This window comes from Homo sapiens, chromosome X (genome assembly GCF_000001405.40).
Source record: "Homo sapiens chromosome X, GRCh38.p14 Primary Assembly".
NCBI lineage: Eukaryota > Metazoa > Chordata > Mammalia > Primates > Hominidae > Homo > Homo sapiens.
The window spans coordinates 55,000,244-55,022,544 of NC_000023.11; the positions used below are offsets into that span (position 1 = coordinate 55,000,244).

General features: G+C 45.6%; 2 protein-coding genes across 5 annotated transcripts in view, besides 11 other annotated features; one reads left to right on the forward strand and one right to left on the reverse strand.

Annotated features, from left to right (window-relative positions):
- Positions 1 to 140: a silencer, noted in NCBI's record as "silent region_20865". NCBI's record gives its function as "represses an Ori minimal core promoter by ATAC-STARR-seq in GM12878 lymphoblastoid cells {active_cell/tissue: GM12878}" and the evidence as "EXISTENCE:reporter gene assay evidence [ECO:0000049][PMID:35858748]".
- On the forward strand, positions 120 to 8,814 carry APEX2 (apurinic/apyrimidinic endodeoxyribonuclease 2). 2 transcript variants are annotated; one of them, NM_014481.4, is made up of 6 exons: positions 120 to 336; positions 1,303 to 1,386; positions 2,008 to 2,188; positions 2,719 to 2,865; positions 3,556 to 3,625; positions 6,275 to 8,814. In NM_014481.4, the coding sequence occupies exons 1-6, from the start codon at positions 180 to 182 to the stop codon at positions 7,190 to 7,192; spliced, it is 1,557 nt and encodes a 518-aa protein (NP_055296.2). In that variant the 5' UTR covers positions 120 to 179; the 3' UTR covers positions 7,193 to 8,814. The 2 variants fall into 2 exon arrangements, with proteins under 2 accessions (NP_055296.2, NP_001258677.1); NM_001271748.2 differs by lacking the exon at positions 2,008 to 2,188.
- Positions 7,413 to 7,707: an enhancer, noted in NCBI's record as "tiled region #2439; HepG2 Activating DNase matched - State 5:Enh, and K562 Activating non-DNase unmatched - State 18:Pol2". NCBI's record gives its function as "activates a minimal TATA promoter and a strong SV40 promoter by Sharpr-MPRA in HepG2 cells, with weaker activation in K562 cells {active_cell/tissue: HepG2 | K562}" and the evidence as "EXISTENCE:reporter gene assay evidence [ECO:0000049][PMID:27701403]".
- Positions 7,413 to 7,827: a biological region, named in NCBI's record as "Sharpr-MPRA regulatory regions 2439 and 5762".
- Positions 7,533 to 7,827: an enhancer, noted in NCBI's record as "tiled region #5762; HepG2 Activating non-DNase unmatched - State 5:Enh, and K562 Activating DNase matched - State 18:Pol2". NCBI's record gives its function as "activates a minimal TATA promoter and a strong SV40 promoter by Sharpr-MPRA in HepG2 and K562 cells {active_cell/tissue: HepG2 | K562}" and the evidence as "EXISTENCE:reporter gene assay evidence [ECO:0000049][PMID:27701403]".
- ALAS2 (5'-aminolevulinate synthase 2) overlaps positions 8,812 to 22,301 on the reverse strand; it is a 21,923-nt gene continuing 8,433 nt past the window's right edge. For all 3 annotated transcript variants that reach the window (NM_001037967.4, NM_000032.5, NM_001037968.4), the window contains 7 exons: positions 20,809 to 21,031; positions 20,077 to 20,261; positions 17,243 to 17,422; positions 15,335 to 15,499; positions 14,504 to 14,772; positions 13,243 to 13,405; positions 8,812 to 9,100 (listed from right to left, as the gene is read on the reverse strand). In NM_001037967.4, the coding sequence (NP_001033056.1) occupies positions 8,937 to 9,100; positions 13,243 to 13,405; positions 14,504 to 14,772; positions 15,335 to 15,499; positions 17,243 to 17,422; positions 20,077 to 20,261; positions 20,809 to 21,031 (1,349 nt within the window). In that variant the 3' untranslated portion in view covers positions 8,812 to 8,936. The remainder of the gene's footprint in view (positions 9,101 to 13,242; positions 13,406 to 14,503; positions 14,773 to 15,334; positions 15,500 to 17,242; positions 17,423 to 20,076; positions 20,262 to 20,808; positions 21,032 to 22,301) is intronic.
- Positions 14,773 to 15,175: an enhancer, noted in NCBI's record as "pAp-I8(403)-LUC construct fragment". NCBI's record gives its function as "erythroid enhancer in human K562 cells" and the evidence as "EXISTENCE:reporter gene assay evidence [ECO:0000049][PMID:9642238]".
- Positions 14,773 to 15,233: an enhancer, noted in NCBI's record as "ptk-I8(460)-LUC construct fragment". NCBI's record gives its function as "erythroid enhancer in human K562 and mouse MEL cells" and the evidence as "EXISTENCE:reporter gene assay evidence [ECO:0000049][PMID:9642238]".
- Positions 14,937 to 15,175: an enhancer, noted in NCBI's record as "pAp-I8(239)-LUC construct fragment; minimal active enhancer fragment containing the CAC-A, CAC-B, GATA-A and GATA-B motifs". NCBI's record gives its function as "erythroid enhancer in human K562 and mouse MEL cells" and the evidence as "EXISTENCE:reporter gene assay evidence [ECO:0000049][PMID:9642238]".
- Positions 14,941 to 14,964: a protein binding site, noted in NCBI's record as "GATA-B site". NCBI's record gives its function as "important for erythroid enhancer activity" and the evidence as "EXISTENCE:protein binding evidence [ECO:0000024][PMID:9642238, PMID:27044088]".
- Positions 14,977 to 15,000: a protein binding site, noted in NCBI's record as "GATA-A site". NCBI's record gives the evidence for it as "EXISTENCE:protein binding evidence [ECO:0000024][PMID:9642238, PMID:27044088]".
- Positions 14,994 to 15,014: a protein binding site, noted in NCBI's record as "CAC-B site; CACCC site B". NCBI's record gives its function as "important for erythroid enhancer activity" and the evidence as "EXISTENCE:protein binding evidence [ECO:0000024][PMID:9642238]".
- Positions 15,056 to 15,069: a protein binding site, noted in NCBI's record as "CAC-A site; CACCC site A". NCBI's record gives its function as "important for erythroid enhancer activity" and the evidence as "EXISTENCE:protein binding evidence [ECO:0000024][PMID:9642238]".

The window sequence follows — 22,301 nt, forward strand, 5'->3', positions numbered from 1 at the left end:
CGCCAATGAGAGCTGAGGAAGTTGAAGCCCCCGCCCGACGTGCGTCAGGCGCTTTAGTGGTACGCACGAGAACGCCTGCGCAAACGCGCGCGGGAGGCGGGCCTGGCCAACTTCTGAACAGGAAGCAGTTCGCTCGCGCCTAGGTTGGCGCGGGCTGGGAGGTGTTCCAGCCCTTTAAGATGTTGCGCGTGGTGAGCTGGAACATCAATGGGATTCGGAGACCCCTGCAAGGGGTGGCAAATCAGGAACCCAGCAACTGTGCCGCCGTGGCCGTGGGGCGCATTTTGGACGAGCTGGATGCGGATATCGTCTGTCTCCAGGAAACCAAAGTGACCAGTGAGCGCTCTGGATTCCAGGATCCCTACATACTTTTTCTTTCCCGCTAACTTTTGTCCCCTGTCCCATGTAATTTTACTTTCCCAGTTTCCTATTCTTAGAGTCCTGTCCTTAGACCCAGGTCCCTTCCCTCTTAAACTTCCATTTCCCACCCTAGCTAGATCCCCTAATTGCACTCCATCTCCTGTCTTCAGCAAACTTTAGCTCCTTCTCGAAACCCCATATCTAGTCAGATTCCCACTCATTCTCCGGCCCCAAACTCAGTCCCCTGAATTTCCTCCTTCCATACGCTGTCCATCTCCCCGCCGCCAAGTCAAACCCCCGAATTCTTCATCCCTGCCCCAAGCTCAGATCCTCTAATTCCCACCCCATCTTTGACCCCAGCTCAGTCTAATTTCCTCTTTTTCACATTTCCACCTCAGAACCCCAGTACCCCTTATCTATTCCCATCTCTCCTCCCAGCGGAAAGTCCCTAATTCCCACCTCATTTCCCACCCCAAGCTTAGATGTCCTCTTATTTCTTCACCCTCTTATCTCCCCTCAGAATCCCCTAATTCCTTTTCCCTCCACCCCCAGTTCAGATCCCCTAATTCCCTCTCTCTTACCTCTCACCCTTAGCTCAGATTCCCACCATCCTCTCGTATGTCCATCCCCATCCCCAGCTTCCTCCTATCGTTCAGACCCCCAGGCTTAGCTCTGATTCTTTCCCCTTCCCACCTAATTCTCCACCTCCACTTCATAGTCTCTAACCGCCCCCCACCAAGCCTTCTAATTCTGATATCAATTTCCTCTCTGACATTTCCCATCTTTCTAGGTCCTCCTCTAATCATGGATATTTCATTCCCGTCACCCCCAACTCTGGCTCTGATGTGTGCAAGGAATTAGCCTACAACTGTAATTCCAGGCCTTTGTGTTTCTCGGATGCTAGTTTTACCTCTGACTTAATCTTACATTTTTTTTTTCCAGGGGATGCACTGACAGAGCCCCTGGCTATCGTTGAGGGTTATAACTCCTATTTCAGCTTCAGCCGCAACCGTAGCGGCTATTCTGGTAAATGGGGCTTTCTGTGGACTTTAAATTAGTGAGGGAGGCAGATAGGGGAAAAGGGTTTCCAATATTTGATGAGAGGGTAATAAGAAATCTTAGACATTTAGTTTACAGAGCTAAAGCTGCATAATAGTAAATTACATGAAATATAATTTTTATGGATAGAATTATCCTACTGGACCTCAGAAGTACAGTAGTAGTGTGGTGCTTAATTGTGTGAACTGTGGAGCCAGACAGCCTGGGTTTGAATCATGGCTCATTTCCTAGCTGTGCACCCTCTGGCAAGTTACATTACCTCTTGGTGCCTCAGGTTCCTCAGCTAGAAAATGAGGATAATGTTTACCTTCCGGGGCTGTTACAAGGATTAAATGAATTAATCCATGTGATAATAATAATTGCTAATACGTCTTGAGCACTCACCATGTATCAATGTAAAACACTTAGAACATTCTGTGGCTTTTTTAGATGTAGGAACTGAGACTCCAGGGTTTGAATAAGGTTGCCCAAGAACCACACTTTATGAAGATGACTTAGATGACTTGTGTGGGGACAATTGGAGTGGGACAGGCTGTGCAACAGGCTATTGACTGCCAGGTCTGCTCAGAGTGCCCTGTCTGTTCCCAGGTGTAGCCACCTTCTGTAAGGACAATGCTACCCCAGTGGCTGCTGAAGAAGGCCTGAGTGGCCTGTTTGCCACCCAGAATGGGGATGTTGGTTGCTATGGAAACATGGATGAGTTTACCCAAGAGGAACTCCGGGCTCTGGATAGTGAGGGCAGGGCCCTCCTCACACAGCATAAGATCCGGTAATAGCTCATATCTCCCTGCTACTGAGCACTGCTGGTGCTACTCTTTGAGTGTGAAGATTCTAAGGCTTGCCATGTAAACATACATGCACCGTGGAGAAGTTCCCAAATTTGCCTTTCCTGGTTTAGTCCTGGCTGGGCTACTCAGTGTGTGACCCTGGCAAATTTTTCCCCCCTCTGAAGCTTGAGTTTCCATCTCTACAATGTGGGGCTGGCCTAGTGATCCAGCTCTTATTACCATAGACATCTCAAAAGCAACTTAGTGCTGAACTCAGTGCCCCAGGTTGCTGTCTTTCTGGGTGTTCTGTGTGAATAGCAGCACCATTACCTGGTGGTAATCCTTAGATATCCCTCTCCCTGCCTTATCAGTAGTCAGTCCCCAAGTCCTGTGCATGCCAGATCATTTGTGTCTCTTTAACCCCTTTCTTTTCCATCCCAGACAGTCACAAAATGGAAGCCATGTGGTATGGGGAAGGGACAGAAGGGGAGGTTTGAAACTGACCCCTTTTGGGGGTTTCTCTTTTCTCCAGCACATGGGAAGGTAAGGAGAAGACCTTGACCCTAATCAACGTGTACTGCCCCCATGCGGACCCTGGGAGGCCTGAGCGGCTAGTCTTTAAGATGCGCTTCTATCGTTTGCTGCAAATCCGAGCAGAAGCCCTCCTGGCGGCAGGCAGGTACTGCAAGCCTGGGCAGTAAGGCTTCCTTGAGTTGGTCCTGGGTGCCCAGCCCTGTGTCAAGCTCCATTGAAAGGGATATGGACCCTTTGTCTCTGAGTTCTTTCACAGCATAGTTGCAAACACCAATATGCCCACCTGAATAGGCTCTGCTCAAAACAAACATGGGTTTTGTACTCTGAGCACCTATTCAGGCTCCTGCTCTTACTCATTGTGAGCCCTAGGGCTAGTCTTGCCTCTGTTTTCTCTTTTGTCAAATGAATATATGAATCTCTACCCTACACAATAGTTTTAAGGGTAAAATGAGATGAGAATGGTAAAGTGCGTGGGAGCAAAGGAAAGTCTTGTTCCAGCGGAGGACAGGAAAGTGAGGGTGGGTTAGAGCAATCAAGGGGAGGTGGTATCTGAGCTCAGCTTTGAAGGACAAGAAAAATGCCCATTGGCTCCTGATTAGTGAGGCAGTCATGTCAAACATGGAACACTGTCACCTTTGGAGATCAGAATTGGGTTGGTCAGATATGAAAGGCAGCAAGTTTGTGGTAAGATTGGAGAGGTAGGCTGTTATGAGTTGCTGTTGGCTAGGAAGCCTCAATATGGGAGAGGGCCTGTCTGAGCTCTTGGGCCCAGGAAAAAGTATATGGGCCAGGACTGCTGCACCCCTTTCTAACAATCCCACATTGTGTTTTTCAGCCATGTGATCATTCTGGGTGACCTGAATACAGCCCACCGCCCCATTGACCACTGGGATGCAGTCAACCTGGTAAGGCTCCCTCTAGGTGCCTGGCCCCACTCCTGACTGATTCTGTTTGTCCAGCCAACCAACCCTGAGTTTTTGGCCCAGGGACAGCTTCCTTTATGGGAAAGCGGAGCTTGGCTTGCAATACTATTCTTATAGTACTGAGGATTGGTCATTCATTCAATAGACAATACTGACTCTGCCCATGGCCTGGCCCTGAGCCACATACTGAGGACTCAGGAGTCAGATCCAGCCCTTGGCTCCTAGGAGCTCTCCAGCATGGTGGTGGGCTACAGACACATGGCTAGCCAATTATAGGATGGTATTCTCAGGGCAGAGGCACAGATGGCATCCCAGAAAGCTACAGGAGCTCAGAGATGGGATTCCTAGGTGAGCTCGGACATCAGGACAGGCAGCTGAAAATGGCTGAATCTTAACAGATGAGTAGAACAGAGCTTTGAAGTAGAAAGCATTCTAGCATGGGCAAAGGTTTCAAGGTGAGAATTTGCATTGTGTGCATGGGGAACCACAAGTCCCTTTCTTCTTAGTGACACAGGAAGGGAGGTGAGTGGCAGAAGGTGGGGCTGGAGAGTTGTTGGGGGTCAGATTTCAAGGACTGTGAATTCCACATTGCCTTGGTCATTTCCTTAATACACTGTATTTCTTGTTTATGAACTTTCAGTACCTCCCTGTTACCTCTGTGATGCAGAGAAAACATGGAGACCTAGCATTCAAGGCTCTCCTTGGTCTGTGACCTGTCTCTTATTTCCACCTTCAGTGTCCCTACACATTTTGTCCTCTCTAGACAGGTTGTCTCCTGTCGGCCCGTTGTAAAAGTTATTCTCATTCTGGCTTTTCTCACTGTGCCCTGAATTGGTGGACATGACCCCCTCCCTGTCTTTTTGTTATATGAACCTCTTATCTCTAAGTTCCCCTAGGCCCATGGTTTTCAGCCCCTAACTGCATATTAGAACAAAAATATCAATATCTTAGCACTACTCCAGATCAATGAACTCAGAACTCTCGAGTGTGGGGCCAGGGTAGTGGCACGTTCTAAAAGCCCCCAGTGTGACTTTATTGTGCAGCCAGGCTTGAGAACCACTGCCCTAGAATCCACAAGCCAGCTCTCATCTTTTCTTGCCTTATGTCTCACGATGGGGGATCAGTGATTTATGCTGGTACAGTCCTACTCAGCACTGGGCTTGGCTTAGAGAAGGGACCGTGGGAATATTCCTTGATTAATTCACAGAAGAGCTACATAAATGTAGATATGGCTCCCAGCTGGGAAAATGAGCAGAAGTGAGAGAATGAGAGAATGGTGGTGGTGGTGTGGTGGGGAGCGGAGATAATGCTACAAAGTGTGAGCCTTCAGTCCCTCCCTGCCTCATTCCTCTTATGCATTCATTCAGTGTGTTCTTTCAGATTCCTGTGATAGCATCATACATCTTTGTGCCTTTTCTACTTAGTTCAGAGGTATCCTAGATCTCTTATGTATACCTCTTTCATTTTCTCCTCCAGGAAAAGAGAACTAATAGTGCCAGCTCAGATGACTTACACAGTCTTTCCAAAATAGCAGAACATACCCACTTTCTACCAGGCTTGCTCTTTTAGTCTTGTCATTTCTGTAAATGGCACCATCATCCCCTTGATTGCTTCAACTTAAAGCCTGGGAATTGTGCTAGTATTGTCTTTCTTTCTTACTCCACTTCCCACATTCAGTTAGTCAGCAAGTACTGTTGATTCTAGCTACAAATCATCTCATAATTTCATGTTTCTGTCTCCTCTGGCACCCACCCTAGTCCAAGTGACCATCATCTTGCTTGTGTGACTATGGCAGCCATTTCCTGCTGGTATTCTGGTCTCCAGTCTGGTCTTTCCTCAAGTCTTTTGGGTACGCAGCACACTCCCTCCACAGGCCCAGCACAGAGACTGTTCTTAAAGTTAGGAGCACCCTCCACCTAGGTTACTCTTACTCAGCCCCCACACCTCAGCTCCAGATCACTTCTCGAAAGGAAGCCTCCTTGGTCCCCAGGAGTAGATCAGGTTCCTACTTTGTCCCTGGCATCATGCATGGCACATAATAGGTATTCCATGAACATTTCTTGCATTGAATGAGTGGGTGGGTAGGTGGATTGAATGGATGGACTGATGGATGATGGATTGGGGATCAGAGCCTAAGGAAGTATTCAGACCTGGATCCTTGCAGGTCCTCAGCTCAGGAGGTAGGAATGGTCATTGAGGGCTTTGACACACTAGATAAACCAAATAGTGCCAGAGGGTTTAAAGGAAGAAGCTGACAGTCTTCCTAACTCTTAACCCCAGCCCTGCTTCCTAGAGGCAAACACTTTTAACTTCCTGTTTTCCATCCTTTTGAAAAGCAGTTCCAGGAATTGCTTTGAGTAAGCAAACTTTCAGATTTGCCATTGACGGACCAATGCAAGACAAATGCAAGCTCGTGCAGAGGGAAAAACAAGCATGGTCTTTTAAATCAGTAAGGATGAAAATCAGAATCCCAGCTCTGCCAATTCCGGACTGTGTGACCTTGAGCAGTAGTCCTCTTGGGACAACCAAATTTTCTTATTTGCAAAATGCAGCAGTTAGTCTAAGTCCCTTCCAGTTCTAGGTATCTAGTTCTGTCTCTCTCTCTTCCAACCCCCTTTCCTCCTCACCTAGGAATGCTTTGAAGAGGACCCAGGGCGCAAGTGGATGGACAGCTTGCTCAGTAACTTGGGGTGCCAGTCTGCCTCTCATGTAGGGCCCTTCATCGATAGCTACCGCTGCTTCCAACCAAAGCAGGAGGGGGCCTTCACCTGCTGGTCAGCAGTCACTGGCGCCCGCCATCTCAACTATGGCTCCCGGCTTGACTATGTGCTGGGGGACAGGACCCTGGTCATAGACACCTTTCAGGCCTCTTTCCTGCTGCCTGAGGTGATGGGCTCTGACCACTGCCCTGTGGGTGCAGTCTTGAGTGTGTCCTCTGTGCCTGCAAAACAGTGCCCACCTCTGTGCACCCGCTTCCTCCCTGAGTTTGCAGGCACCCAGCTCAAGATCCTTCGCTTCCTAGTTCCTCTCGAACAAAGTCCTGTGTTGGAGCAGTCGACGCTGCAGCACAACAATCAAACCCGGGTACAGACATGCCAAAACAAAGCCCAAGTGCGCTCAACCAGGCCTCAGCCCAGTCAGGTTGGCTCTAGCAGAGGCCAGAAAAACCTGAAGAGCTACTTTCAGCCCTCCCCTAGCTGTCCCCAAGCCTCTCCTGACATAGAGCTGCCTAGCCTACCACTGATGAGCGCCCTCATGACCCCGAAGACTCCAGAAGAGAAGGCAGTGGCCAAAGTGGTGAAGGGGCAGGCCAAGACTTCAGAAGCCAAAGATGAGAAGGAGTTACGGACCTCATTCTGGAAGTCTGTGCTGGCGGGGCCCTTGCGCACACCCCTCTGTGGGGGCCACAGGGAGCCATGTGTGATGCGTACTGTGAAGAAGCCAGGACCCAACTTGGGCCGCCGCTTCTACATGTGTGCCAGGCCCCGGGGTCCTCCCACTGACCCCTCCTCCCGGTGCAACTTCTTCCTCTGGAGCAGGCCCAGCTGAACCAATGGAGGCCTGGGGACATCTGGCATGGTCACCCCTGCACATGATCTGAGGCCAGCTCCCCTTCCCTGAGCTGCCTCCTGCTTCTCCCTCAAAGTCTCCTACCCTTCTCTTCCTCTTTTAAGCCCTCTCTTCCTCGCTTTCCTTCCTACCTAGCTCCTTGTTGGTGAGCTTCTTGTGCCTTAATCCTGTGACCCAGCCCCTTACACCACTTTCCACCTTCCTGTCCGAAGTACACGGACACTAGCTGCCCCAGGAAGTTGTGTGATTTTAAATCACTTCTGTCTTTGCTGGAAAGTGTATTTGTGCATAAATAAAGTCTGTGTATTTGTTTCAGGGTTGCACTTTGGACATTGTGGAGGTACTCCATAAAGTTGAGTCAGAGAAGCTATCTCAATACTTGGTTTGCCGGCTGGCTGTAGCCCAATGATGTAATTCCCAGAGAAAGGGGAGGAGGGAGGGGGGAGGAGGGAATAGTGAGGCGTGAGCAGCAGTGCTCACCATAAAGGGTTCTCTGCTCAGTTGTAGGAATTTCCTGTACGGCTAAGGTGAAATCAGCAAGGAAGGTGGGCTGTGTAGCCTTAAACCAGAGCTTTCCAGCTAGTGCGTCCCACAGCTGCCACAGTGGGTTACAGGGTTGAAAGAAACGGTCCTCAGCCCTCAGAGTTGCCAGGCAGGGCCTGGGACCACACAAGTTTCAGGGACGATTGCCTCCTTAGCAAGTAGTATCATTAGTACCCCTAAGTGTGCCATGGAAATGTTTCCTGTATACTGTGACCTGGAAAGTGGGAGCATTGCTTTGAACACAGTGCTTGCTCTAGCCAAGCCTCTTCTCACCTTTGAAAATGGGACTGGTAGACCAGGCACAGTGGTGCACGCCTGTAATCCCAGCACTTTGGGAGGCTGAGATGGGTGGATCACCTGAGGTCAGGAGTTCGCAACCAGCCTAACATGGTGAGACCCCGTCTCTACTAAATACAAAAAAATTAACTGGGCGTGGTGGCGCGTGCCTGTAATCCAAGCTACTTAGGAGGCTGAGACAGGAGAATAGCTTGTACCTGGGAGGCGGAGGTTGCAGTGGGCTGAGATCATGCATTGCACTCCAGCCTGGGCAACAAGAGTGAAATTCAGTCTCCAAAAAAAAAAAAAGAAAAGAAAAAGAATGGGACTGGTAAATCCTGTTCTGTGGGATGCCGTGGGAGGGAGAGAGGATAATGGATTGAGGAAGACATCCATATCCCCTTATGGAAAATACCTCTTTGGTTTTGGGGAACCACTCCTTTCTAGGGAATTTGGTTAGGGCTGACTCATTTCCTGGCTTCAGGGGCTACCCTGGGCCCAGATTTCCAGGGCCCGGATTACCAGTGAAGCGTCAATCCCTGGATTTTTATTGAAACCATTGGAGAAGAGCCATCTCAAATAAATCTGCCAAGTATCCTAGCTCTTTGCAACTCACTGTGTAGTTTTTGGGCATTTCCTTCCTCTTTCTCATTCTGTTTCCCTGTTGGTAAAATGGAATGGTGACCAACAAGTGACCTATGGTTACCTCATAGATCTGCCACTTGTCTGAGGGAGTCAGAATGCACTTGTCTGTTCCCTGTCCAATAAAAGGCTTCACATGCTGTGGTTTGTGCTTTATTTTTAGGCTCAATTCAGCTAGAGGCACACAACAAAGCAGAAGACAGGAGTAGGCCTGGACCCAAGTGAAGCGCAGGTGGGGTGTGAATCCTAGGCAGCTGGCTTCTCAGGCATAGGTGGTGACATACTGGGGCCCCATGTTCCCGAAGTAGGAACGTTCCCACTCACTCATGAGCTCAAAGTGTACAGGACGGCGACAGAAATTGCAGGCAGCCACAGACACATCCTGGAGGGGCAGCCCCACCGCAGTCCAAGCCAGCAGCAGCTTCTCTGAAGGTGGTAGGGGGAGGGGAGGGAAAAAATGGGTTAGACTAGATCTTCCAAATCTGTCACAGTACAGATGAGCCAAGATATTGATCCCCCTCAACCCTTCAAGATACCTCAGGGCCAGAAGTAGCCTACTGTTTGCTTCTGTGTGTGCCGTGAATATTACCATTTGTATCTGGATGCTGGGATATATATTATAAAAGATTTGGAAGCTCTCCTTTGACACAATTTGAAGCCATACTGTCCTGGCCTGGACCACTCCCTAAGTATAGGATGTGCTGTGGCCCAAGAATGACTGTCTGCTTGGGAACTCTAAGCCCTATGAGGACAATGATAATGACAGTAACTATACTGTGTCATTGGTGCTATGACCAGGAAACCTGGGGTAGGGGGTCCACCTGGGGGTGTGAAAACCCAGAGAAGGGAACCTGACCTAGCTGGAGGAAGTACCCCAGGTACGTTCCAGGGCTCTGTTCTTGGCCTTTTCTGTGTTCATGCCCTTGTTGATCTTGTCTAGTCACATGACTTTAAAGACCATCTATATGCTGATGGTTCAGAAATTTTAATCTCCAGCTCACGCCACTCTACTGGTTTCCAATCTTGTATATCCAATGGCTTTTCTCCATCTCCACCTAGATGTCTAATATGCATTTCTAACTTAGGAGTACAACTGAGCTACTCATGTCCCTACCCTCCACCAAGCTATTCTACTTTTAGCTTTTCCCATCTCAGTGGATGGCAATTCCAGTTGCTCAGTCCAAAAATTTCAGAGCTATCCTTTATTTTTCTCTTTCTCTCTTACCCTATATCCCATCTATCAGCAAAGACCCTTGGCTCTACCTTCAAAATCTGACCACTTCTTATTGCCTTCATTATGATCAAGTCTGAGCCACCATCATCTCTCACCTGGGATATTACTGTAGCCCACTCTTGGGTCTCCCTGCTTCCACCCTTGCTCCCTTTTAGTGTATTCTCTACATAGAAGTTGGAGCAATTTTGTTAAAACCCGAGTCAGAAATATCAGTCCTGTGTTCAAATCCTTTCAAGGGCTCTCAGAGTAAAAGCCAAACTCCTTCTAATGGCCTACCATACCCTATACAATCTGGTCCCACATTGCCTCTATGTACTCAATTTTTCTGTCTCCCACTTGCTTATACCATTCCACCCACACCCATCTTCTTACTGTTCCTCAAATATAAAAGGAATACTCCTGTGTCTTCCCTGCCTTAGGATGTTCCCTCTGCCTGCGATGCCATTCCCTTAGATATCTGCCTCACTAACTTCACCTCCTTCAAATTTTTGCTCAAGTTTCACCTCAGCGTCTTCTACCCTTGCCACTCTAATACTACAACCCTTCTCTGAACTCGCCCCTGGCCCCTTATCCCATTCTCCTTATCCTGCTTTATTTTTTCCCATAGCACTTAGAACTAATGTGCTACTTAATTTGCTTATTTTTGGTAATTTTTTTTACTACCCCTTCCACTAGAATGTAAGCTCCAGAGGGTAGGAATTTTGTGTCTGATTTGTTTGCTACTGCATCCCCAGTGCCTAGAACAGTATCTAGTACACAGTTGGTACTCAATAAATATTTGTTGAAAGAATGCCTAAGTTAAGTCTACAAGATGAAGGAAAGTAAGCCAGAGGAAAGTGTGAGGGAGGGCATTCCAATCAAAAGAGAGCAGCATGAGCAAAGTCCCAGAGGTAAGAGAGCAGAAAAAAATGAGGGAACGACAAGTCCTTCAGTGTAGCTGAAAAAACAAAATGCATGTGGGGAGGAGGTGAGGGCATAGAGATCACCATGTGGAAGGCATTGAATGCTATGCTGAAGAGCTTCAACTCTGTCCTATATGTCAATGTTTCCAAATTTTGGACTATACATCCCTATCAGTACAAATGTTTTAGCATGTACCTCCAATCTCTATATTTGTTTATATATTATATACATGTATAACTGTCAGTCTGTATATTAAAGATCAGTATCAGTGATGCTTGATTTCCTATTTTTAAGATAAAAAAACATAAAATTCTAATACATATTCTGTTCCTTCACCCTGTAATCATTTTGCATACCCCTTGGAGGTCACTGCTTTAGAGTCTAGAGGGAAACATGAAGGGGTTTAAGCAAGGGAGCAATATAGTCAGAATTTTAGAAAAATCCCTCTAGTGGTCATCATCGAGAAAGGATTTGAGAGGAGCAAGAGAGAAGCAGAGAAATTAGGAAAAAAATCATGTTGACATGGATTAAAGAAGTGGCAGGGGAGAAAAGCAAATAGGTTTGAGAGAGATTATAGATAACTTTTGCAGGATTTCAGGATGGATTGGCTATGGAACTTAGGGACTGGTGGAGCCATCGTGGATGCCTCATATATTCTTACAAAAGCCTAGCCTAGGTGGACATTCAGAGAACCAAGAATACTGAGAGCTCTACAATTGAAGCCCAGAGCAAAAGAGAATACTGAACAAAAGGCCCAGGAGTCTGGGTCATCAGCTCAGAGAGGTGGTAGACCTAGCAGTTATGACCATGGAGGTAGAGACAGACCTCCCAGTTGCAACTTAGAAGCTGTGTGACCTTGGATCAGCGACTATATATTTTTGTGCCTCAATTTCCACATGTACAAAATGGAAATGATAAGAGGATCTCTAACTCTTGAGGTTGTTGTGGGGATTAGATGAGTTAATACGTGTAAAGTGTTTAGAACAGTGCTTGGCACATGGTAAGTACTTAATGTTAGCCAGCATTATTTAATGTTTTTGAATGAATGAATGGCGCCTACCTAGCTTGTCTTCCTTGAATTCTCATACTGCCCATGCTTCAGACAAACAGAATTATGTTGTCAATACATACCCACTGCTTTCCTATCTCTAGGTCATTGCTCGTGGAATTCCCTTATTCTGGAATATTCTTACAACATATTCACATGTACTTCAACATGCATCATAAAAACTTCCTTACTCACAAAGCCTCTCCAATTTCATCCTTCCCACCCTCTCTCTCCATAATGTGTCCACTCCCTCTAGCTCCCAGAATACTGGAGCTCATCATACTGGACCAGTACCATCTATATCTGGCTCCTCTGCTAGACCATCAACTGCCTACATGTCTTTCATCCAACAGGCCTGGAATGAGCACCTATTCAATGTCAGGCCCTGCATTAAAAACTACCCAGGCCGGGCATGGTGGCTCACGCCTGTAATCCCAGCACTTTGGGAGGCCTAGGCAGGTGGATTACGAGGTCAGGAGTTCGAGACTAGCCTGGCCAACATGGTGAAACCCCATCTCTACTAAAAATACAGAAATTAGCTAGGCATGGTGGCACGTGCCTGTAATCCCAGCTACTTGGGAGGCTGAGGCAGGAGAATTGCTTGAGCCAGGACCCGGGAGGCAGAGGTAGCAGTGAGCCAAGATCGTGCCACTGCACTCCAGCCTGGGCTACAGAGCCAGACTCTGTCTCAAAAAAACAAAAACAAAAACAAACAAACAAAAACAAAACTACCCAACAGAAATCCAACAAACATTAGGTGAATTGACTAAACTGGCATTTTCAGGGTAAATCTCAAACTACTCAGCTCTACAAGCCTCTCAATCCAGTCTCTATCTCATGTTGTCTTTGTAGACTCATAGATTGATACTCCCCTGCCCCACTCCATTCCTATGACCCTACATTCCAATACCACCTGCTTATTGTTCTTGATATATCCCTGGCTGCTTCTCATTCTCCTCACCTATCTTCATGCTCTTCCCTCTGGTAGGAATACTTCTTCCATGCCCTCTTTCTTTTAATACCACTCACTTTGCAAGACTCAGCTCAGGTGTCACCTCTACTAGGAAGTGGGTCTTGCATCCCTCAGGCTGAGTCAGGCCCCTCCTCTCTGCTCCGACAACTCTATCATGCACTGCCTTGTGGAGCTTTGATCATCCCTTAGTGTCATTGTTTGTGTTCACTATGGTATCCCCAACCAAACTGGAGCCCTACAAGTGTAGGGGCTGCTTCTCATTTATTTGTGACCCTAGTATAGGTGCTGGCACACATTAGATGTTCCAGAAATATTTTGTAAACTCAGTGGTCTCTGTCCTCTCAGCTTCTCTTTCAGATCCTGGGGCTGAGGGGAGGGAGGTCCTGTAGGCACCCATGTTGAGAACTTACCCACAAAATCTTCCATCATCTGAGGGCTGTGGTGGGGGGAGGGTGCCAAGCGCAGGAGCTCTTCACCCCGGGGGACAGTTGGGTAGTTGATGGCCTGCACATAGATGCCATGCTTGGAGAGCAGGAGATCACAGAGCTTGCTGTTGAGTGCTGCATTGCCCACCTGGACTCAGGAGAAAGGCTAATCAGTACCTGCCACTCTGGCTCCACCATCACTAGCTCCATTAAGCAGATGGAGGGAACTAGATGAGGGAACATCACTGAATTTTGGGATAGATTTTTTTTTTCCATTAGGGGCTTAGTGGCAGCTCCAGAATTTCTATCAAGGAGGAGCTCAGAGCTAGCAATTTGGTTTGAAAAGGATGGAGCAGAGGTGGTACCAGGAGCCCTGTTTGGAAGCTGTTTGCAGAGCAAGCACACTGATTTTACTTAGCTAATATCTTAGTTTGGGATGGTTCTGGGTGAGAAGATACCCCCCACCAAGCCAATTCTGGAACCCCCGCCAAGCCAATTCTGGGGTGCTGTCACTAAATTAATTCATAAAATGAGTGTTTAAAGGAAATACTAGGTTAGTCTAAAGAGCAGTGACTATTTCTCATCCACAAAATTGTCACAAATAAGTGTCCTTTCCCTGCCCTGGCTTACTGACTCACACAAATACGTGTTATTTAAGAAAGAAGTAGCAGTTCATTTTTAAAGGCAGTAAATGCTCATATTGAGGATCCAAAGTAGCAGCTAATCCTATGGCTTTTGATTTTATTTTTCTGCCCTCATTTCTCAATAAGAAGTACGTTTTACACCGTGACCATAAACGCACACATACACATACATGTGTATATGCAAATACCCAAAATGCATACAAATTTTTCACAAATTGATGATACCCTTAGTATGTGATGTACTCCAACATTTTCTGTTTCTTTTCTTTTTTTAATGCTAATGATAACCCACTAAGCTGATTTTGTGACCCATTAATTGTCTTGATCCAGTTTGAAAAACTCTGAATTATAGGCTGTGAGCACTCGCTATTGTTAGGGTTAGGATAATCTAATAAGCATGAGGTAATGGCTGATGCAAGGAAAAGACTGGTTAATCCAGAATGGCTGATAATTTTTCAAAAAGGGAAACAAAGCTGGCAATAAAGGGAATGGTTAGCAGGAAAGCAAATAATTGAAGACAGCAACAGATGTAGGTTTGTTGGGAGCGTGAGGCTCCCAGAATAAATAGGTGGAGAGGGCAATGGGCATGGTGGGGCTCTCACCCGGATGGGGATGATGTGGCTGGGGCAGGGGATGACAGGAAGGCCCCTGTCCATGAGTAGCTGGCGCATGTGCTTGACATTGCGCTGGTGGGCTCGCCTCAGGGCTTGGCCCTCCTCTCCCTTGAGCAGCCGCACAGATTCTAGAGCTCCAGAGAGCACCATGGGGGGCAGAGAAGTGGTAAAGATGAAGCCTGCAGCATAGGAGCGCACCATGTCCACCAAGTCACGGGTGCTGGCAATGTAGCCGCCCACACAGCCAAAGGCCTTGCCTGGAGACAGAAAGGAATAAGATATACACAGATCCCATAATCAGTCCCAGAGCAACAGGATCATGTGCCAGATAACACAAGGGGGTGCACCAGAAGTTGGGGCTCCAGGCTGTCTTCCCAGGCCTCTGCTCATCTGTCCATGACAAGGCAGTCGTAGCTGATAATTCTGCTGCTTTGAGATAGGACTTTCAAGTCTTGCCATATGCAATGACTAGATAGGCAGGAGCTGGGTGGGGACCTTTAGCTGGATAGGGTCAGGAGTGGAGCTAAGATGAAGCTTGGGGCTAGGGTGGGGGAGGGGTTTAGAAACACAGCTCTTCACATACTCAAGTTGAATCTAACTATTTGGCCTAGTTCAAGGTCTTTTCAAAAAACTCTACCAGACTTTCTCATCAACTCTGCAGTGGGATGCGAGTGGAGAGAGGGAGTCCAGGATGGCAGCAGCCTGGGGCTGTGAATTCTGTCCAAACAACCCCTATAGCTTTGGGGAGGAGGCAGAAAAGAATTTTGTAAGGGCCTCCTCTCTGGAGGGTATATAAGAAGGCCCAAAGCATTCACTTACCAAGAGTTCCAGAGATGATGTCAATCTTATGCATAATTCCATCACGCTCCCCAATCCCAGCGCCCCGGGACCCATACAGTCCTACAGCATGGACCTCATCCACGAAGGTCAGGGCCCCATACTGGTGGGACACATCACACAACTCCTCGAGGGGACAGATGGCACCTGAGCAAAGCCAAGGGATAGAGGTAGGACATCATAACCCTTCCCCAGCTCCATCTCCAATGTGGAATTTCCCATACATGCCTACTTTGGGTTGGAAAAGGGTGTTGTAGAGAGGAAGGAGGATGTGCGCCTTCATTTAGAACTATTACAAACCTCTGTGTATGGATCGATTGCCTGTATCTCATCCCTGCCTTCTCTCTCTCTCTCTCTGTCTCTCTGTGTGTGTGTGTGTGTGTGTGTGTGTGTGTGTGTGTGTGTGTGTGTGTGTACGTGTGTGTGCGCATGTGTGTGTGTTCCCCAGCCTGGGATCAAGGCTTGACTCTTTGTCTTTCTGTTTTTACTTCATTCTGACAATGTCTATTTTCCTGTTTCTGCTGTGTTCAGCCTAGCATCATTTCAATGGGAGAGATTCAGCCTAAGGATCAACAGTTTGGGCAGAGTTTGCACCCCAAAAATAGGTAAATAACTATTTATTTGCAAATGTAACGAGGTAGAATGGTACCAACATAGTTTCCACTAGAGAAATAATGAATTTGAATAGTCTCAGTGGTAGAAATATACAAAAGGGATAGGATAGTTTTACTTTATTGCTAGTGTTAGAAATGTGGGAGTGGGCATAATAGTAAGTTTCTTACATATATTAACTCATTTAATTTGCATACCTATTTAATTATTATCACTTACATTTTTCAAATAAGCAACTGAGAACTGAGACACAGAGCAATTAAGAAGCTTGCCCAAGCTAGTAAATGGTCATGCTAGGATTTGAACATGGATAGTCTGGTTTTAGAGCCTGTGTGTATAGTCATTACATGCCACTTAAGATACCTAAATCAGGGAATACTATGGACTCTTTTGTTTCAGTTGGAAAAGGGACAAACTGAAATGAGTTGAGGACCTCTTCCCTTAAATAAATCCATAAGAGGATGCCTAAAACACATGATTTCTACACAACAGGGCCAGCAATAGAAAGCTTTGGACATTGTTTCAATTGAGCAAAGAAAGGAGGTAGGAGTGTGAAGATCATTTAATTCTACTAAAGCATAATAACTAGAATGGTTTCTATCATCTCTAATTCTTACAACCAGATATTTTACCTTTGGGAAAATTGAGGCTTAGACAGTTAAAGAGTTACCCATGGTCATAGCCAGTAACTGTCAAAGGTGGGATTTGAACCCAGGTCTCTCTGACTTGAAAACCTGTTTTGACCCCAATGCTTCATACTGGACCTTGAAAAAAATCCTAGGCAATGGTTTTTGAAATTTCCTTCATAAAAACCAAACACTGGGATTATTGATTTACATATCATTTCTAACAAGAGAAGTGTTACTCGAGGAATTGGAGTTATATGTGTTAGGGTGCAGATACTCACTTTAGCACCAACTTGCTGAGCCACTCAAGATGAATTGGATGCCAACTCTGAACTTTAGTTTCTTTACCTATAAGATGAATGTAATAGCTGCCTCCATTCTTTGGCATTTACTAGCTGTGTGACCTTGGACAAATTACTCTTATGTCTCAGTTTCCTCATGTAAAAAATCAAAATAATAATAACACCTATCACATAGAATTGTTCAGAAAATTAAATGAATTAATACATGTAAAATACTAATAATTTTGCTTGGCACATAATAAACACTATAAATATTAGCTGTTATAATGTTATCGTCATCATCATCATCATGATCATCATGGTTTTTGTGAGACCAACACTAGTAAACATACACTCACTCATATACATACCATCCATGGAGTGGACAGTCTCAAAGGCCACAATTTTGGGTATCTTAGGGTTAGACTTCTCTAGAAGTTTCTTTAGGTGGTCAGGGTCATTGTGCCTGAAGACAAACTTGGCTGCTCCACTGTTACGGATACCTTGGATCATGGAAGCATGGTTGCCTGCGTCTGAGTAAATCTCGCACCCTGAGGAAGCAGATGTATAATCCTTAAGCTTCTGTCCCAGTACTCCCACTTCAACCTTCAGGTTTGACCTGGCAAAGAAAAGGGCCAACCCTTTCTTCCCTTTGAAGACCTTGCTCTGCTTCTTCCTTCTCTGGGAACTTTTGTGACACTTCTTTCTCCCTTGGAAGGACTTCACTGTTCCCAAATTCTGACCCCTACATCCTTCCCTCCAGTCATTTGTAACCCTGGTCTAGCCTCTGACTGCCTTGGGGTGGAAGAACATTTAATTTCCCAAGAAGCTTCAGAGTTTTTTGAGGACGGGACCTATTTTCCTTCTCCCCAATATATAAGATCAAGACTTGAAAAAGGGATTACCCCAGGGAATGTTTGTTGACTCGGACTGATGCTAGATTGTTCCTAGTCTAGATGAAATTCCATCCATTCCAGGTAGCATCTGCTTGTGGTTACAGGGATGGATATTTATCAGGCTTTTACTGTTGGAATCATAAGCTTATGGCATGTCAGAGCTGGCAGGGCTGTTAGTGATCATGGGATTCATCCCTTTACTATACAAGTGAGAAAGCTAAGGTCCAGAAAGATTTGAAGAATGCAGGGCTTTTTACTGGGCAATCCTGGTGGGGCAGGTGGGCATGTGAAATTGGTAGAGGGAGTTGATTCCTGGACCTCCCCAACCCCTGCCACCAACTGCACTGCCATCAAGGAACTGTGGCCTTATTATAAGATTAAGGGATAACTTCCACCTGAGAAAATGAGTTATGGCTTTCTGGAGAAAATGGCTTGAAAGACAAGCAGACTGGGAGTTGCATGGGAGCAAAAACATCTTATTATCTCTCTGTCTCTGGTGTCCAGTATAAGAGTAAGCACACAGTAGATGCTAAGTAAACATTTATTAAATGAATGGATAAATAAACTGATGACAGATTTATAAGTAAGTGAATGAGTATATGAATGAATGTATTACTGAATGAAATAGTGAGAGGAGGGATGCAAAAAGGTGAGACCGAAGAGATACATAGAAGCCAGATTATTGAGAACTTTAGAAGCTGTGATAAGAAATTTGGATTTGGTCCTGGGGGAATGGGGGTCCACTAAAGGGTTTTGACCAGGGCTGAGGGTGGGGTGACAAAGATAGTTTTGCATTAAAAAAAATTCTGACTGTTGTAAAGAATAGATTATCGGAGGGCAAAGGTAAAATTTTCTTTAAAAAATGATGTTGGATCAGGCTAGGATGCTGGCAGTAGAGATGGAAAGAAGTTTAATGGTTGAGGAGGGGATGGACTAAAAACAACTTAAAGATGTTGAGTTTAGTTGGGGCTTATGGGTGGACTCAAAAAAAGTTTCTGAGAAGTGGTGGTAATATTTTTGCTGTGCTGAAGAATCAGCAGGAGGTGAGGAAGTAGATAGTAAGAGCGAAGACTTCTCTCAAGCAGTTTGCCTGTTATAGGGAGGAAAGAGGGCAGTAGCTAGAGAGTGATCAGGGGTTGAGGCAATGTTTTTTTATAAGATACAAGAGACTTGAAAACATGTTTAAAGAGAGGGAGAGGCTGAAGATACAGGAGAGGAGGAGAGAGCCAATAGGTCAAGATTCCTAAGGTGGTAGAGGGGAATGGGGCACAGAGCAACAGTGGAAGGATTAGTCACAAGAAAAAGGATACTTCTTCCACTATGACAGAAGAGAAGGAGTGAGGAGAGGACATTTGAAGATGCTTATGAGTTTGTAGGTGCTTTGTGGCTGGGAGTCAAGGACATTGCTGTCTGGTATCTTCTATTTTGAATGTAGTAGAACATGAAGTTGTCTGCTGAGGGAGATGGGGAGGAGGGGGTGTGGGAAGGCTGAGGATAATGGTGGTTTGGCAAAACTGCCCCATAAACTTCGAGAACTGACCAGGGAAATGGGATTGTCAGAGACCATGGAGAACCCAGTAGAGGTTAAGAGTATGAATTTTTAGTGACTCCTGTCTGAGCAACTGTATGAGCCCGGAATTGATATAGTGAAGATGGAGGGTTGTATTCATTCTGGATTGGGCCTTGGCGGAAGGACAACAAGGCGTATGAGGTGAGGACATTACAGACTAGAGAGTAGGAGACTGGGAATATGGGAACCAGTGTACAAGTGAAGGGATTGGTTTTAGGCAGAAGGAGAGATATGCCTTCCATTGTAAAAGGAAAGAATGAGGCAAGGCTAGATAAACAATTAGATAAGTTCGTAGGTTTGGTGGCAATAAATAAGGATTCTCTGTCTGGGGCTTCTGTTTTTATTGTGAAGTAAGATGTGAGGTTATTTGCTAAGTGTGGAGGAGAAGGTAGTCAGAGGTTTTAGAAGAGGAGAAGAAGTTTGAAAAAGCTCCTGTGGAGACATAAAATAACTATGTATGTGTGTTAAGAGCTCAGTTGAGTTGGGAGGTGATGAATTTATAGTGTTTCCTTTCTGTGAGGTGGGGTAATGTTCCCCGGTAATGGTCCTCTCTACGTGCAGAAGGAGAGAAAGCAGAGGGATATAATTATCCAGTGTTGAGGATATGCAAGGTGGATAAGAAGGAAGAACAATGGGAGTGAGGGAACTCCAAATACAGGGAAGGAGTGATGGAACCAGTGAAACTGGATGCTGTATTGCAGGATACCAGCCCTGAACAAAGCTCAGGCCTCAGGCTTACCTGGCAGGATCTTGGCCAAGGTGAAGAGAGTAGAGTCATTGGCAACAAAGCAGGAGGAGAAGAGCAGGGCTGAGTCCTTCTGGTGCAGCTCAGCCAGCTCCTGCTCAAGCTCCACATGAAACTTACTGGTGCCTGAGATGTTGCGGGTGCCACCAGCTCCAGCACCATGACGCTGCAGGGTCTCCCTGGCCAGGAGAAAACAGGAGAAAAGGAGAAAAAGAAACTCTTGTCAGGCATCGAGGAACTGGGTAGGTTTCTCTTCCTTGATGGGAGTCAATGTTGAGTTAGTGATCCTATATAAACTGTGTCCTATGAGACAAAGTAGAGGGAAGGATGGGGAGGATAGGGAGACATGTGCCTTCCTTCTAGGACTGGAGGTACTCAGGGAGAGAGGGAGAAGCTAGGTTGAGCTTGAGTAGTTTGGAAGACCTAGAGGAAGTCACACTCCATCTCTGGCAATACTAATTCTGCAGCTAGATTAAAAACTCAGGCAGAGTGGGCCTTGCTTGGTCTCCCATCCTTCCCCTCCATAGCATTGGACACCGAAGAGTTTGGGAAACATGGTGTGTTGACTTATTTCATATCCAAGGAATAGATATGATGGAGGACCTTGGACAAAAGAAGTGGTGATAGAACCCAAGTTTCCACTGCCAGCTCTGCCTTTTTTTTTTTTCCATGTGTGGTTTTTCATCTCCTCTGGCCACTGCTGATGGCTGAAAGCCTACTACTCACTGTGTGGCTTGCAAGACCTGAGGGTGTCGGCTCATGCCCAGGTAATCATTACTACACCAGACGGACACATCCTTTGAGGCCACAGATGCCTCAGAGAAATGTTGGGCAAAGGGATATGCATCAGCCCAGCGGTTCACAGTCTTGAACACACGGTAGGTGTGATCCTGTTTCTTCTCCATGATCTTGTCCCTGAAAAACTGGTCATAACTGAAGACATAGTTTCCTGCAGGAGCAGATATGAGGATGAAAAGAATTCGTTTTAAGTCTCTCCCTGGCTAGTCTGTATTTTACCCATGTTGCTGATTTTGAGTTCTCCAACTCTTTTTCCACATATTCATTTATTTGCTCAGTCATTGACTTATGGACCACATTAACTCTCTACTACTTCATTCAGCCATCCTTTTGCTTACTCATTCACTCATTCACTCAGTAGTTCATTCACACATTCATTTAGACTTTCTTATGGCCTCATCTCTCTTCCCGGGTTGGTGTGGCAGCCTCCTTACTAGAATCACTGCTTTCAGTCTCACTGGAAGGAGTATCAACAGATCTTGTTTCTAGCGATCTCTTTGCCACTTCCTAGCTGTGTGGCCTTGAACAAGTCATGAATCTTCTTTCTTACTTTAAATTTCTTTATTTGTAGAATGAGGCTAATAATACTTTCCTTGGAGAGTTGTGAGCATCTGACAACCAACAACATGTAATATATTCAAACTAATAAATGGCACATGGTAATAGTAGTATTATTACTGCTATAGTATTAGTAGTCATAATAATACTAATAAAGATAGCTAATATTCAATTACATCATTATAGCTAACATTTAATGAATGCCTAGTACATGTAAGTTCTTTCCTAGGAACTTTATAAATATTTAATTTATTCCTCACAACAATGCTCCATGGACAGTTCTATTAGTATCTCCATTTTACAGATGAGGGAACTGGGGCATTAAGTGTTAGACAACTTGACCAGGGTCATGCAGCAAGTAAGTGTTCATCAAGTAAGTAACTCAGAGCCCACTTCTTTAACCATTACCACTACAAAATGGGGTAACTTTATTTCTAGGATAAATTGAAATAACGTTTGCCAAAGAGCTTGTTAAACTCTAGAACTCTTTACGTGAGACAGAAATCATGTTGCAGACAGCAATTTATATGGCTGCTGGAGGTGCAAACTGGTAACATCCTTGCTGCAGAGATGTTTGGAAATACATATCAAAAGTTTTTTAAATGCACATACTGACATATCTAGAGAAATATTTGCAGCATACTTAACAGACAAATGATTGATACTCAGAATTTATTATATAATCTCTGAAAAATTAACATGAAAAATTTCAACTCAGTAGAAAAATGGGCATAGAATATGAACAGACAATTCAATAAATGTAGAAAAAGATTCTTAATCAGGAAAAATAAAACTGGGAAAACAAAATTTCACCTATCAATTGATAAAGATTTAAAGTTTGATAATATCAAGGGCTGGTAAGG

What these genes read in the sequence shown, in the direction of transcription:
- APEX2 (NM_014481.4), top strand. Translation starts at nt 180, where the DNA reads ATGTTGCGCGTGGTGAGCTGGAACATCAATGGGATTCGGAGACCCCTG. An exon ending in CAACCGTAGCGGCTATTCTG is followed by an intron (nt 1,387 to 2,007) that starts GTAAATGGGGCT and finishes GTCTGTTCCCAG; the next exon opens with GTGTAGCCACCTTCTGTAAG. An exon ending in ACTGGGATGCAGTCAACCTG is followed by an intron (nt 3,626 to 6,274) that starts GTAAGGCTCCCT and finishes CTCCTCACCTAG; the next exon opens with GAATGCTTTGAAGAGGACCC.